This window comes from Homo sapiens, chromosome 3 (assembly GCF_000001405.40).
Source record: "Homo sapiens chromosome 3, GRCh38.p14 Primary Assembly".
Classification (NCBI taxonomy): Eukaryota; Metazoa; Chordata; class Mammalia; order Primates; family Hominidae; genus Homo; species Homo sapiens.
Window position 1 is genome coordinate 51,212,285 of NC_000003.12, and position 14,959 is coordinate 51,227,243.

Consider the following 14,959-nt stretch of genomic DNA (forward strand, 5'->3'; position numbering starts at 1 on the left):
ACACTATCAGCACCTTTAGTGAACATCTTCATGAGTTTCACTTTGCTTCTGTACACCATTTTGGTTGATCAGAAAATGCAAAGACAAAAGGCAGTCAGTGAGTACTTAAACCCTTGCCAATGCAGAATGGTTAGAGTACACCCACTGTTTTTTTTTTTTTTTTTTGCTTTTGCCTTCCAACCACAACCCCCTCAAATTATGGAGACTTTCATCCCCAGCTATTTGCTTCATGTTGGGCTGTCTCCTAAGTCAGTGGATTTCTGTTTACCCAGAGGATATGATTTGATAGCTACGTAAAGACAACAAAGATGAATAAGTTAGGGTTATGAGGTGAGGGCAGATATATCCCAAGCTGTTCTCTACAGAGATTATTGTGGTTTTGGTTCTGGCTCCCAGGCTTTCAGGTTCATAAACTAATTGCGGTTTAGTCCACCAGTGATTAGGCTTAAGATAATTACTTTAGAGGGGTTGAAATCTTAAACACTGATTATCTAACCAGAATGCCAACTGGAATACTGTATGTTTGCCTTTTCAGGGCACTGTGATCCTGGTGTTAATGACACTTGAGATACCATGTTTGTAATCCCAAAGTTTCTTGGAAAGCATGAGTTTAGCAGAAGCAACGAGATAATTATGAGGTTCTGTCCAGGCTCTAGTAGAACCGTATTTCCTCCCTTGGCCCAGCTCTGAGAGTACAAATTCCTGGCTACTGACATACTTTTCTTGCCAAATAAAATATCTGTAACTCTTCTATCTGACTTCTCTCTTTATCTACTTCTCCATTCCCTCCTCCCTCCCCATTCCTAGACCATTCTTATTTTACAATTCTGCTTGTTACTATCTCCATTCCAGCTACTACTCTTCTAATTGTATTCATTATCATAACACCTTATTCCCTCATTTCTATAATTGTTCAGCTGCATTTAACTCCCAAGCTTATAGACCAGTGAGGACGCCTCCTGTCAACCCATAGATCAACACCTAAATTCTTCATCCTGTTAACAGCTAATCCCATTCACAGTTATAGAGGTAACACTTCCTAATTCCATACAGGCTTGACTGTTACAGCCTTCTAGCCAGTAGCTGCAGCGGGGACCCTCAGGAGGGTGGTGTGGAGGGGGAAATTTCAGGAGATTCTAACTTTGTGCACAACTCCAAGGGTGTAAGTAGTGAGCCAGAAGGCAGCTCACCTGAGGGGATATTACAAATACTCCCAAGTTTTGATTAAAGATCATGTGGAGGATCTGAAATCCTCATGGAGTCAAGGCTTAGTTAGTCCCACAAAAGCGCCCTCTTTTCTTTGCAGAATGTGATGTCTCCTCTGTTGCAAGCCAGTGCAAGATTGAACTAGAAAGTTACTTCCCACACTTTGGCATACTCCTAGCATAAAACACAGCACATCTTAGCTTGCTCATTTCTCATATTTGGGATGGCCTGACTGAAGGTCTTCTTTGGTCATGTTTGTTTCTAGTCTTTAGATTTCTCTAGGTTCCTAAATATACAACTTATGTAGTTGAACCCTCTCATTCAATATTCACAAGGGCCAGCTGGACCCTAGTTGGACGCTGGGGAACAGAGGGAAAGACAACTCAATCTCCCAGACCTCAGTCTATGTTTAATAGACTAATTCTCTGGGTTATTGGGGTCACTTTGACTTAAATTTCTTTAGCTTTCCAAAATGTTTCTTCAAAATAACTTATACTGTCTGCATAAAAGTTTTTCTCAAGAATTTTGCTGAACTTTGCACATTTTCTTCTGGAAAATGTGACTGTGTCTTTTCAAGTACTATATAACAGGGTAGAACTGTGGTTCTAAGAAAATGCTTTTGTTTTTGCAGGTCTTATCATTTCTCTGCAGCTTCTTCGTGGAGACATGGAACAGATTCGGAGAGAAAATCCCATGATATTTAATAGGGGATTGGCAATTACAAGAAAATTGGGATTTCCTGATGTCATTATGCCAGGTATGCAGAACTGCTTGGGGCTGGGAAGGAAGATGGGTTAGGATGGAATCTGGTGCTCCCCTCCTGAGCAGGTGGTGAACTGTGCTATGGAGAAGACCTGCAGCTATTAAAATCTCCCACATCCCAAGTCAGGCTGCTTACTGCAGTCTGCAGTCAATGGCCCTTTGGCTCTTATAGGCATTTGTTCTTTTCCAGAAGCCCCTACATTACATTCACCAGTGCAACATGACAATCCAGCAGATAGGCTTTGTTGTCTTCCATGAAGTAGAAGTGATGGTAGAAGTGAATATGGAACCTTCATGGAGAGTTTTTATACTCTACTATCCTATCACATTTCTTAGAATATAATTGTCTCACAAGAACTTACTGCTTAAGGGGAAGAATATATCAAAATATATGCCTGTAGTATCAGTGAATCCCATATGTGTAGGAATAGCAGATACATTTCCATTTTCATGTATCAGAAAAATAGATCAGGCAAATAGTATAAATTAGACATTGTGAATATACCACTACCTGGCCAGCTTCTCAGGAATTGTATCACCCATTTCATCTAATGCCCCGTGGAGAGCCAGGGCAGAAATTGGGAATGCATTGACCCTCAACTGTGGTCCCAGTAGGTCAGTATCAGGTTCTTGTTTTCTAATTAGGCAGACATGGGTAGGGCTGGAAAAGTGGATCCAAATGGGATATCAGAGCCAAGGGGGCTATCAGGAGTGAAGAAAGGGTAGAGGCATGGTTCAGATGGATGTTAGGTGTCCTGATAAGCAGAGAAGATGCAAATAAGGAAAAGGAGATTAGAATGGGTAAATGTCTGGTTATCTGGATAGATTCTAGGAGGAGTGGACCTACCCTCTCAGTTGAGTTTTTTTGTTGTTTTGAGACAGTCTTACTCTGTTGCCCACGCTGGAGTGCAGTGGTGCCATCTTGGCTCACTGCAAACTCCACCCACTAGGTGCAAGCAATTCTCTTGCCTCAGCCTCCCGAGTAGCTGCGACTACACGTGTACATCACCACACCTGGCTAATTTTTGTAATTTTTGTAGAGACGGTTTCACCATGTTGGCCAGACTGGTCTCGAACTCCTGACCTCAAGTGATCCAGTACTGGCATACTGGTCTTGAACTCCTGACCTCAGCCTCCCAAAGTGCTGGGATTACAGGCTTGAGCCACTGCGCCTGGCCTCAGTTGAGTTTTAATGCTTTGCTAAAAGCTTATTTGCTTTTGTTGTAAAGGGCCAGGCCAGACCAGGCTAGACTGAACTGATTGTGATCACTTTAAATATCACTTATTTGGAGTTCTTCATGGTGGTTCACTGAATTCTCTTGTTGGAAGCATTTGCCAGCACATACACAAAGAGTTGGGTAGCTTGGGCATAGAGAAGGCCTATGTGGTGGGTTCCAGCTGCCTTCCAACTTTCCAGGCTATGCCCAGATTTATTTTCTGTCACCTTCATTCTCTCTCCATAGACACTGTAAATGCAGAGCAAGCTGCTACACACAGCCTTCGTCTTCTACTCATACACACAGGAGAGTCTTTTGGATGGGAAATGTAGGCTAGTAGATCAGTTATGTTTTTCTCTAAATGCTAGGGAGACTTCATGCTTATGAAAGCTGTTGTAGGGGTAATGACTGCCACAGGACACTTCTACCATCCTGTCATGACACCTTTCTTAGCTCTTTCTGGGCTGGTAATTAGGAAAAGAGCCCAAGCATAGTCAGGCTTCTTGACTATGAAAAAAAAAAAAAGTTACCAAAATTGAAAAAAGAATAAATAGTTACCAAAATTGACCTGGTGATCTTTTAAAAATTAGGTATCTAGGCTTATGTGGTGGAGTATATTCCAAGGGATATACTTAAAGTCCTTCCTTTCTCTTGAGAACTTTTCTGAGATTTGGATACTACCTTCGTGATAGTCTTCACATACTTCTGGGATTAAAACCAAGTGATCAGAGACTAGAAAGGAACAAGCTTCAGTCAAAAATGTATTTAAGCAAAATTTGATTTTAAGTTACATTGTCAAAACCTCATCTGTGGAAAGAAATCTTTTTTAGGATACTCTGCATCTCTTCATATCATTGGCACACAGCTAGACATGACTCTGGAAATATGTAATTTCAAGCATTGGTGAGGCAAGCTGAGGTTAAGGGGGTTTTCCCTCCTCCGGGCAGCTAAGGGATCATCATATGATTTTCCCCACAAGGCAGAGATACTGGGCAGTCCTGGCAGGCCCAGGGTGGGGCTGTGAGCCTGCCTTTGAAGTACTGAGTGCTGTAGCCGAAAGTAAGGACTGGTTCATAGGCAGAGCAGTCCTTTTGCATAATCTGCCCCCTCTTCCACCCATTCTCTTCCTGAGAAAAGAGCTTTTGCACAGGTGGCCACTCCCAGGGTTGTGGGCTGTTAGCAACTTGCATTTCCCCCTTAATATGCCCCAATATACTGTCAAGAGTAGGTTTGCAGTCCCTGGGCAAAGTGATAGGACTGTACCTGCAGGTCCTATTGGATCAACAGGAAAAGTGTGCAGGAGTGTTTTACATTGTGGTCAGCCTGTCTTGGGAAACAGTGACTGTGTTAAGAAGTCCTTAGGAGTCTTTTTCAAACCCTGGGCACATCTCTACCTGCAGCTAGTCCACCCATCATCTGTGAGAGTGTTTTACTTGAATTGTAGCAGTCCCTCAGCTCTCACAGTGCTGGTGTGACCAAGTTACAAGAAATTGCAACTTCATCTTCTTGACCCATGAACACGTGGAGATATAAGAAGGAAGGAAATCATGTCAGTAACTGTGACCATGATAGCATGATAAGTCTGAGAAATTAAATGGAAAAATTAGAAGTATTCATAAACTGTGATCCTTATTTTAAAACTATCCAGCATTTGGCAGAAACTATCAAACACTCATTTGGAAAGGTTTTTTTTTTTGGTCAGGATGGCCCAGATAGGTCCTTGTCAAAGCATACTGGCAGAGCTGTAAGGGAGAGTTCAGACAGGCTCTAGCCACACCAGTAGCTAACATATGATTTCTAAAAAGATCTTTTTGACATTCTACCATTGCTTTCCATGAGAGTGTACATACATATCACAGGGATGATGTGAGCATGAGATATTCTGCTCTGCCATAACTGAGGCCATGACTACACAGCCATTCAGTTCTGCTCATGACCCATGATAATGAGCAAGAGGCAACAGTGATACTGCTGGTGTTCTGGGAGCCAAACCAGGAAGTACCATCTTAGATTATAGAAGAACAAATAGATATGAGAAATTTAGCCATTTTTTAAAAAACTGAACATGTAACCTTTTGTTAGTTGATCACCATATTTCAGTGGATACTTTCTCTTTCCTTCCAAACTCATTTTATTAAAGTACAAAAGCTAATAATAACTCTATGGCACACTTTTAGTCCTTTTCTTGATTTTTTTTAAGAAGATGGGCAGGCACGACAAACAGGCCAGGTGTTCCAGGTAAACAAATGGATGTTAACATTGTTTTCTGTAACTCCTGTGTCAGAATTAGCTATAATAAAACTTTAAAGAAAACCGTTAGCCAAAAGAGTATAACCTGAAAGGAATGATTTAAAACCTCTAGGTCAGGCCAGGCACAGTGGCTCACACCTGTAATCCCAGCACTTTGGGAGGCCAAGGCAGGCAGATCACTTGAGGTCAGGAATTCAAGACCAACCTGGCCAACATGGTGAAACCCCATCTCTACTAAAAATACGAAAATTAGCCGGGGGTCGTGGTGGGCGCCTGTAATCCCAGCTACTCAGGAGTCTGAGGCAGGAGAATCGCTTGAACCTGGGAGGCGGAGGTTGCAGTGAGCCAAGATGGCGCCACTGCACTCCAGCCTGGATGACAGCGAGACCCCATCTCAAATAAAAAATTAAAATAAAATAAAACCTCTTGCTCGGTCAGGCACAGTGGCTCACGCCTATAATCCTAGCACTTTGGGAGGCCGAGGCAGGTGGATCACCTGAGGCCAGACGTTCAAGACCAGCCTGGCCAATATGGTGAGACCCCATCTCTAAAAAAAATGCAAAAATTAGCCGGGCATGGTGGCGTTCACCTGTAGTCTCAGATATTCAGGAGGCTGAGGCATGAGAATTGCTTAAACTCGGGAGGTAAAAGTTGCAGTGAGCCAAGATCATACCACTGCACTCCAGCCTGTGTGACAGAGCAGAATCTGTCTCAAAACCAAAACCAAACCAAAACAAAAAACCTCTTGCTCAAGAAGGGACCGTACCCTTCTTCAGACCATGTCTAAGCCAGCAGAGATGTGCTACCACTTGCCATGGCTCTCTTTCTTTGCTTTCCTGGAAAGTCTGTACCCTGTAGTCAGTGGAAATAAAGGGCTTTGTCGTGGTTTTTTGGGAAGTACAATGTTTTAACCTATTTTCTAAGACTTGAATTTCTAAGGTTATCATTGATTGTAGGTGATATGAGCCAAATTACATATTAAATGGTTTTCTGTCTTGTCATAAGAAGTCCATCTATGATTTATTATGTTGTTCTAATAGATGACTAAGTTTTTTTCCTAAAGCAGTGGTTGCCGAACCTCAGTGTGCCTCAGAATCACCTGCAAGGCCCATAAAACACAGATTTCTGGGCCCACCCCAAGAGTTTCTAACTTAGTAGGACTGTGGTGGGACCTGGCAATTTGCATCTCTCACAAGCTCTCAAGTGATGGTGATGCTGCTGGTCTGGAACCTCCTTTGAGAACCATGTCATAGAGAGTACTCTGCTTATGGATGTTTTTCTCCTTCTTGATTCCCTTTACTCAATTACTGCTCCCCTTTGGACATATCTATTAGAAGGCAGCTATATAGGCATAGCATCCTTTTAGAGGACCCTCTGACTCTTCCCCTTGTGCTCAGAAACACACTCTGTCCTTTTCTTTGACTCCTGACAAAAATGTGCATGTTTCATCACTGACCTTCAAGTGATGTTTCTTTCTTTTCGTGTTTGTCTTAATTGTTCTTGTTTTTCTCTGTGCTGTCCCTTCATTTTCGCCCCTTTCTTTCTGACGCAGAGATGAAGATAGTTGGGTGTAAGTTCTGTCTTTTGTGTGCTCTGTCTGCTTATTGCCTGCTTTGTTCTCATCTTCATTTGTTTCATGGAATGTTGCAATACTGGGGTGGGGTATCATGTACATATTAATAATCCTCATCAGCCTCACCTTCTTGGGTAACTGACAAGACATAAAAAGAAAAGCTACCAGCCCATCCTATAACACTGTGTATTACTTTTGAGTATTCACTAAGATCTGAAGAAACTGGAGACATATTGGAATGTCTAGAAAATCTTAACAAGCTTAAGGTGTATAGATACAGGAAACTATTTTTGTATGAGACTGATCAGTTGCATTCATTGAAAAGAAAAGGAATCGTGCTTACTCCAAGCCAAAAGAATCAGAAAGGTGGAAAGCTTCTCTTTTTGGCTTTGTGGGACATACTTCACATGAAAAGGCAAACCAACAGAGATATGGTTTTTGGAAGAAAGCTTTCCTCAAGGGGAGCAATGACATTATTTACCACAAGTGGGTTCATAGCGCTGGTCAATCTGAGTGTCAAATGAGGCTATGGCAGTGTATCTAAGGGATGGTTTAAGAATAATCACATCTAGTCTCAAAAGAGGTTGGAAGATCATCACATCCCTGACTCAAGAAAGGACAAACTATCTATAGTGATGTCACACTATGCCCATACCTCTCATCCTGTTAGAGCAAAGAGCATCACTGACTTTGTTGCAATGGAAACCAGAAGTGTGACACCAAAGACATGGTAAGAAGAAGAAAGAATCCTTCTTTCCTGGGTACTCTAAAGAAGTCCTCTCAAGAGCCTTTTTTTTTCTTTTGGTCTCTTCCTCAAGTAAATAAGAACTACTCCATTGGTTGCATACCTAAAACCATCCAAGTTGAATGGTAGCTAACATCTCTACATTTCCATGTATGCTGTTAGGAGACATCCTTCTATTCTTCCAACACATAGGCTTGGCATCATCCCAATTGTACTGAAAGAAAGTCAGTTCTCATCTTACATGATCTTAAGGAAGAGAAAGCACATCTGTAGAAACCCCTCCTAATCCTATCTAGAAGTAGACAAGGTATAAATAATATAGTATTAAATATTATTGGGCAGGGTGCGGTGGCTCACGTGTGTAATCCCAGCACTTTGGGAGGCCAAGGCAGGCAGATCACCTGAGGTCAGGAGTTCCAGACCAGCCTGGCCAACATGGTGAAACCCCATCTCTACTAAAAATACAAAAATTAGCTCGGCATGGTGGCAGGAGCCTTTAATCCCAGCTACTCAGGAGGCTGAGGCTGGAGAATCGCTTGAACCCGGTAGGTGGAGGTTGCAGTGAGCCGAGATTGTGCCGCTGTACTCCAGCCTTGGCAACAGAGCAAGACTCCATCTCAAAAAAAAAAAAAAATATATATATATATATATGTGTGTGTGTGTGTGTGTGTGTATATATATATATATATATATATAAAATACTTGAACCCAGAGCCTCCTAATATGAAGTGTGAGTAATTTATACAGAAGGAATGTGAATATAATAAAGAACTCATATCAGATTTTGACTGGCCAAACTTGTTTGGGCCTTCGCACATTATTTCTGCTGGGATGGAATTCCACATGGGCTAGCACTAATGAAACATTTGGCCCCAAATTCCAAGTAGTACTGGAGTATCTGGCAAGAGATTCTCTTGCTAACAAATGTTCTGGTGCCTGAGCTGGACTTCAGAGGTTGGGAGACCTCTGAGACTACTCTCAGAAGAAATCTGCAAACACATCATGAACTGTTTCTCCAGAGTCACTAGGATACAGGTCTTCAGAGGGTCAGACCTGTCACTGGTCTGTGACAGTGCTCCCTATCTATCCCGTTAAGATTTCTGGTGGCTGAACAGCACTGTTTACTTTTAAGATCGCTCACTCCATAAGCACCTCTGAGTATTCCAGGCCAATCCCTGTCATAATAACATAGCCCCAGGTTCATTACCTTGCTTTCTCCCAGTAGCTGTTTGTCTAGGTGCACAGGAATCTGTATTTTTGATGTGCAGTTGCAGTGTAGTGTGGCTGTTCTTCACACATAAACGTTCCCAGCCAGGTATCAGTAAACTATAGCCTATGGGCCAAATCCAGCCAACAGCCTATTTTTGTACTTCTTGCCAGTGAAGAATGTTTTTCTTTTACATTTTAAAAGTGTTGTAAAAACAAAGAACAACTGCCAGAGACATATGTGGCTGACAAAACCTAAAATATTTACTATTTAGTCTTTTACAGAAAAGGTTTGTCAACTCCAATAAACCTAAGTGCCCAGTTTTCTGAGTGCAGCTGTACCAACAGATCCTGTGAGACTGTAAAAGGGACAGATACTTTATTCCGAGACCCTCTTATAAAAAAAAACTCAAATCGTTCCACTTCATTCAAGAAATTCTGTTGGATGTCACCCAGGCACTAAGCACTCAATGTAAGGCATTACTGATGCTGTAAGATGCCCTGCCAACCTTAGGAAGCAGAGGGCACTTAACAAAGGGAGTCAGGGCTGCCCAAGGTCCTTCCTAAAGGAGAGACCCGTCATCAGGGCTACCCTCAGAAATACCTACTCCTACTTCTTGTAGAAAAGACTCACCCTCTCAGCACATCTGCATGCTGCCTAAGAGCTGCCCAGTCCCCTACTCCTACCCAAACTCCATCAACGTCCTCCCAGCAGACCTCCATATTCTGGTTTCCTAGTGTTAAATAATGAAGAACATCAGAATCACTTGGTGATTTTTTAAAAAATATATGTACACAAGACCCACTGGAATTTCAAGGTGTGAGTGCTAGAAATCTGTTTTCAACAAGTTCCCCAGGTGGTTCGAATACAATCATCCAGGCACTGGTATGCAAACTAACCTCCAAAACCACTGCTCCAGCTTTCTCTTTCTCATCTTCATTGTAATGTGCCTGCCCTCATGCCTCTCTCTCCTGGTAATATTTCCTGGCAGTTGGTGCCAGAGTTTACAGGAGGCTCTTGGAAGCAGAGCCTTAACCCAGAGGCATGATCCCACTGGTAGGTTTTGTGAACACGTAACATGCAATAGGGACAGCTGAAGAGTGGGGGAACCATGGAAGGCTATCTATAAGGCAGGCAGGCAGGCCTGGGTCATTAGATCCCTGGAGCTTTTCACATTTGCTTCTGCTTATGCTTTCTCCTAGTTCCAAGAGAATTCGTGGAGAGCTTGATTGAAGTGATCCCCCAGAGAGATTTTGACAAGAAGCCTCTCCCTCCCAGCAACATTCATTTTCACAAATTGCCACTCTTGAAATTGAAACCATAATCGCATAATTGCAACCCATAAGCCCAATAGCCTAATACCTAACCTGACTGAGAATAGTTCTAGTCTAGCTAGGCAGGTCTGTTCTCCAAATAAAGAGCAGCTAAAGACCTGATGAAAATAAACTGCTTCAGTCTGTAACTCAGAGGGTACAATTACTTGTATTGATAAATTTTCTCAGCTAGATGATCACCAAAGGCATTCTGTTTTTTAAAAAAATGAAAACTACAGGAATATGTAGCTTAATCCTTCCGTTTTGAAACTGGCATTTTACCTTAAAATGCTCTGCCCAGAAACTGTGAGCATATCTCTGTATAGTCAACACAGATCAAATTCTGTCATTAACAATCTCTAAGACACTAATTTTATTTATCTGTTTATTTATTTTTAAAAGACAATGTCTCACTCTGTCACCCAGGCTGAAGTACACTGGCATGATCATAGCTCACTGCAGCCTCAAACTCCGGGGCTCAAGCGATCCTCCCTCCTCAGCCTCCTGAGTAGCTAGGACTACAGGTGTACACTACCATGTTTAGCTAATTTTAAAAAATTTGTTTTGAAGAGCCTCACTATATTGCCCAGGCTAGTTTGGACTCTTAGCCTCAAACAATGTGCTCACTTCAGCCTCCTTATAATCCATAGCAGGAATTACAGGTATGAGCCACCATGCTCAGCCCCTAGTTTTATATTAGTATTTTATATAATATATAACTAGGAAAAGTTTGAAAATGTTTCATTTGAAGGACATGTTTATTGATTAACCTGTGTATAGAGCCACAGAAACTAAAAACGTTTGTATAACCTAGAATAATATTGCTGGTAGCCAACAGATAACTGCTTTTAAAAGCCTCATAGATTATTTTCAGAATAACTTCCAGAGAGTTCAAACCAGGGTAATATTTAAATGAAGCACCTATTCTTTAGATTAAGCATTAAAATTTTCTAGACTATTTGACTCAGAAAAGGATAAAAATTAAAATTTTAGAATAAATAATAAAAAAAATCTAGACTATTCACCTTGTGCTATATCAGTCTACAAATTTAAGTATTACTTAAATTCCATAGGAAAACTAATGTGCAATTAAAAGACTTTTATAAGAAGCCTGTTTCAATTGTTAAAAATTCCAGGTATAACTATGATTTATCCCACCATAATAGCAATAACCTGACTTTAAAGGAGAAAGTTAAAATGAAGAAAAATAGCAATAAGCCATAGTGAAGTTCTGTTAAGTTTGGATTTTACTTTCAGGACTGACTTTATTCAGCCTTTGTCCTGACAGTAGCAGACTGATGAATTTGAGCTTCCTTTCTCATTCTACCTGTCTTTCCCACCCAAACCTACCCTGTACACCTGAGTGCTCTAAATAATGTACCAGGAGGGCCCAAGCAGCAATGTCCAAAGGAAGCGGATTAAGATTCCAGACTCATCAGAATTCAAAGCAGAGGCACTTCCCAATCCAAGGGTTTGTGCAGATGTGGTCCTCCAGGATATCCTACATATGCAACAGTGGCATTTTGGTATGATTTTCAAAACACATTTTCTTCTTCCTTCATGGTAACCTCAAGGTTGCTTGTTTAGGAAAGAAGATGGCTTTCACACATTAGGGAAAGTTCTTAGGGCTCTTGAGGAATAGTTAATTGCTTGTCATGAACTTTTCTTACCCACTTTAGCCACAGTATTTTGAGAACCTTCATTATGCAACCAAATAACCATGATTGCAAGATTGCATACCTGGGATAGGAAAATGACCTGAATAATGGAAGGACTAGTCACGAAGACCCTGAAATCCTCAAATATGTGCCAGTCCTGGTCTATTCCTGTTTCATGCATGAGAGAAGCTCAGATGCTTCCATTATTAGAGAGGTAGTCAGTGCAAAAAAGAGAGCATTGTCATTTATCTCTGACCAAACCAGAAAGCCCACTTGCTAACCAAAAACAAACCCTGCTTCTATCATTATGATTCCAGGTGGTAACATATTTGAATGTACTAGTTTTTCTAAGAACTGAAGTAGAAAAAATTACCTGGTTTCTGAATTGGCATGTTTTGCTGTTGTTTCATTACCTCTCATTTGGTTTCTTCAGGCTGCTAACACATCTTCACTTTGGTCTTACCCATTTTCCTTTGCCATTTTCTCCCTTTGAAGTTTGTTGCCCCCACAGCGTTTTACTATTTTTTTTTTTAAGTCAGAAGCCCTTCTTTAGTTCATGTGAATAAAACTGGTCATGTTAAAGGTTTAGGAATTTAGAGCAGCCTAAATACACTCTTATACATGAACAGGCAATGCTGTCTCCCCTCAACTCATCACCCTAAAAAGGAAGATGTAACTTAGGTCATTTTAGACTTGAAGTTTGAGCTTCTCTTCTCCAGTCTTGAACAACAGAGTTGGGCAAATTGGGCTGGTCAGAGCACAGGGAAGCAAAAAAGCACAACAGGTTGTTGCCTCATTGCCTTACTACCTATGCTTCTGGCAAGTGATCTCCCAGTGCACTTGCAAACAAAAAGAAGAAAAAGCGACAGGTAGTCCAGTGACCTCTACCTGTCACTCCAGCAGGGAATGGGATTTGGAACAAAGCCTCCAGGAGGAAGGAAAAGTAATATATCCTCTAGTCAGACTCAGAAGGGATGGGGATTACAAAAAGAAAGCATATAAAAAGTATAAATCTATAAAAGAGAAACCCTTCTTGAGGGAAAAGAAGAGGGATTAGTAGTTAAGACATAGGCATGTTAAAATGTTATTCCTTTTGATTCTAGAATCTTCCCTCTTTGGGAGGCTTAGATTACAGCCATTCTCCTGGAGGGGAGAAAGACTGAGCAGTCTGAGCATCTACAATCTGAAAGATTCTCCACCCTTGACAAGGTGTGGTGAACATCTTTAGAATTCAGACTTAGAGAACACATGACTAACCAACCTGGGTGCTGCTGCACTGATACTGGTAGAATGTCCATCATTATTAACCAAGCTTGGAATGCCCTGAACACCCACCCAAGCCCCAGAAGATCCAAATGCTAGCCTAGTTCTCTGTGAAAATGGGGCAGTATGGCTTCTGGAGTCATAAGGATGTGGCATTTCTTTCCCCGCAGGTGATATCCGCAATGACCTGTACCTAACCCTGGAGAAGGGGGATTTCGAGAGAGGAGGAAAGAGTGTACAAAAGAATATTGAAGTGACCATGTATGTGCTTTATGCAGATGGAGAAATCTTGAAGGTAAGGCTTGCCAGTCAGTCATTTGGGTTGGAGGATAATCCTATAATAATTCTCTGTGGACTTTATCCAGAGGCCCATTCTCTTCAAGCAGGATTAAAATCACCCCATCAGCCTTTTTCTCTGCCTTTTTCTTTCTTGAAGAAAACTCTAAAGTGTGCTTTGATAATGACTTCCAGTATTGTACAGCCATTGCAGAAATTTATCCTAGTGTCTGACCTGAATCCCTCTTGCTCCAGTTTAGATTTATTCCCTCTAGTTCTATCCTACATGTTACCTCTCCTGTCATTCCACCTAGCATAGAGCTGCCTACTTTTGGTAACTGTTATTAGGTCCCATTCTGCCTTTTTATTCCTTGAGCTAATACAGAAAGTTATATTTACACTTTGGTCAAGTGTGGAACTTAGACAATCACTTCCTGGTACCAAGTTATAGGACAAAGAACAGCAGACTCAGGCCGTGGAAGATTTAAGCCAATGTAGTACAAGTGTCCTCTGTTATTCTTCACTGAAAATGAAGACTTCAGTGCTGTTTTTCTGTTGCATGTGAGTTTTTTCTTCAGTCTAGTCATGGTAAAGTCTGCGGTGAATAACAAGGCATCATTTGCAGCCCACTTTGTAGAAGACAAATCGGTGTTGTACGAACCTTGCTTCTGTGTGTTGGCAGCAGCCCTGTGAGATAGAACAGGAATGATCATTCCCATTTGACAGAGGAAAAGGGTAAAATTAGTCAAAATCATTTCCCAAATCAAGACAGAAATAGAGGAGAATGTTGAAATAGTAGTAGAAACAACGATTTGTATGTCATTTTAAAAACTTAACTCAAAAACCTAAGCCTGTTCACTGTTTGCATGGAGCATGCCAGTGGCAGGAGAATGGTCAGCTGATCACATCACCCCTGTGTGGACAGGGACCTACTCTGGCTTATGTGGCCCAAAGCTTCCTGTTGTCCAGACAAGGGCATGGGCAGTACTGAGACAGCATCTTCATGGCAATATTTGGGAGATGGGTTAAGTTAAATCTGGACTAACTTGTTTATATCTAAAGAAAGTCAGCCAGGGGTGACCTAAAATGCCAGTCCAATGTAGGACTGAGGACAATTAGAAAACAGGCTGTCTCCACTTTGTAATTTAATTTTTTTTCTGATCTGGTAAAATGTTACATAGAGTTGGCTTTTCTCATGCAGCTTGTTGTTTCTCTTCTTAGTGAGGATGAGGAGCCTACCTTGGTGATTTAGATGCACCACCCTGCTTCTCTCTGTTTTTGAGGAGTACATGTGGTTACGTTCACCCCAAGGAAAACAAGGAGCATTGTGACTGCTGATTTCATATACCATCTATGTAACTGCTTCCAAAAGCATTGAATTTAAATCAAATGCATTTTCTTATCTCATAGATTTTGCTTAGAGCAAAAATGAGACCTTTAGACAAGAGAAAGAAAAGTGTCCTAGTGACACAGAAATCCAGACATTCCT

The 14,959-nt window shown here is 41.4% G+C and overlaps 1 protein-coding gene across 25 annotated transcripts in view, besides 1 other annotated feature; it reads left to right on the forward strand.

The window, feature by feature from the left end:
- The window catches only part of DOCK3 (dedicator of cytokinesis 3), a 709,272-nt gene that overhangs the window by 537,358 nt on the left and 156,955 nt on the right, over window positions 1-14,959 (forward strand). For all 25 annotated transcript variants that reach the window (XM_005264914.4, NM_004947.5, XM_006713010.4 and 22 more), the window contains 2 exons: window positions 1,838-1,963; window positions 13,365-13,489. In XM_005264914.4, coding sequence (XP_005264971.1) covers window positions 1,838-1,963; window positions 13,365-13,489 — 251 coding nt within the window. The remainder of the gene's footprint in view (window positions 1-1,837; window positions 1,964-13,364; window positions 13,490-14,959) is intronic.
- Window positions 13,741-14,940: an enhancer, noted in NCBI's record as "BRD4-independent group 4 enhancer chr3:51263456-51264655 (GRCh37/hg19 assembly coordinates)". NCBI's record gives its function as "activates an origin of replication core promoter dependent on BRD2, P300/CBP, MED14 and CDK7 cofactors, and independent of BRD4, by STARR-seq in HCT116 cells {active_cell/tissue: HCT116}" and the evidence as "EXISTENCE:reporter gene assay evidence [ECO:0000049][PMID:35650434]".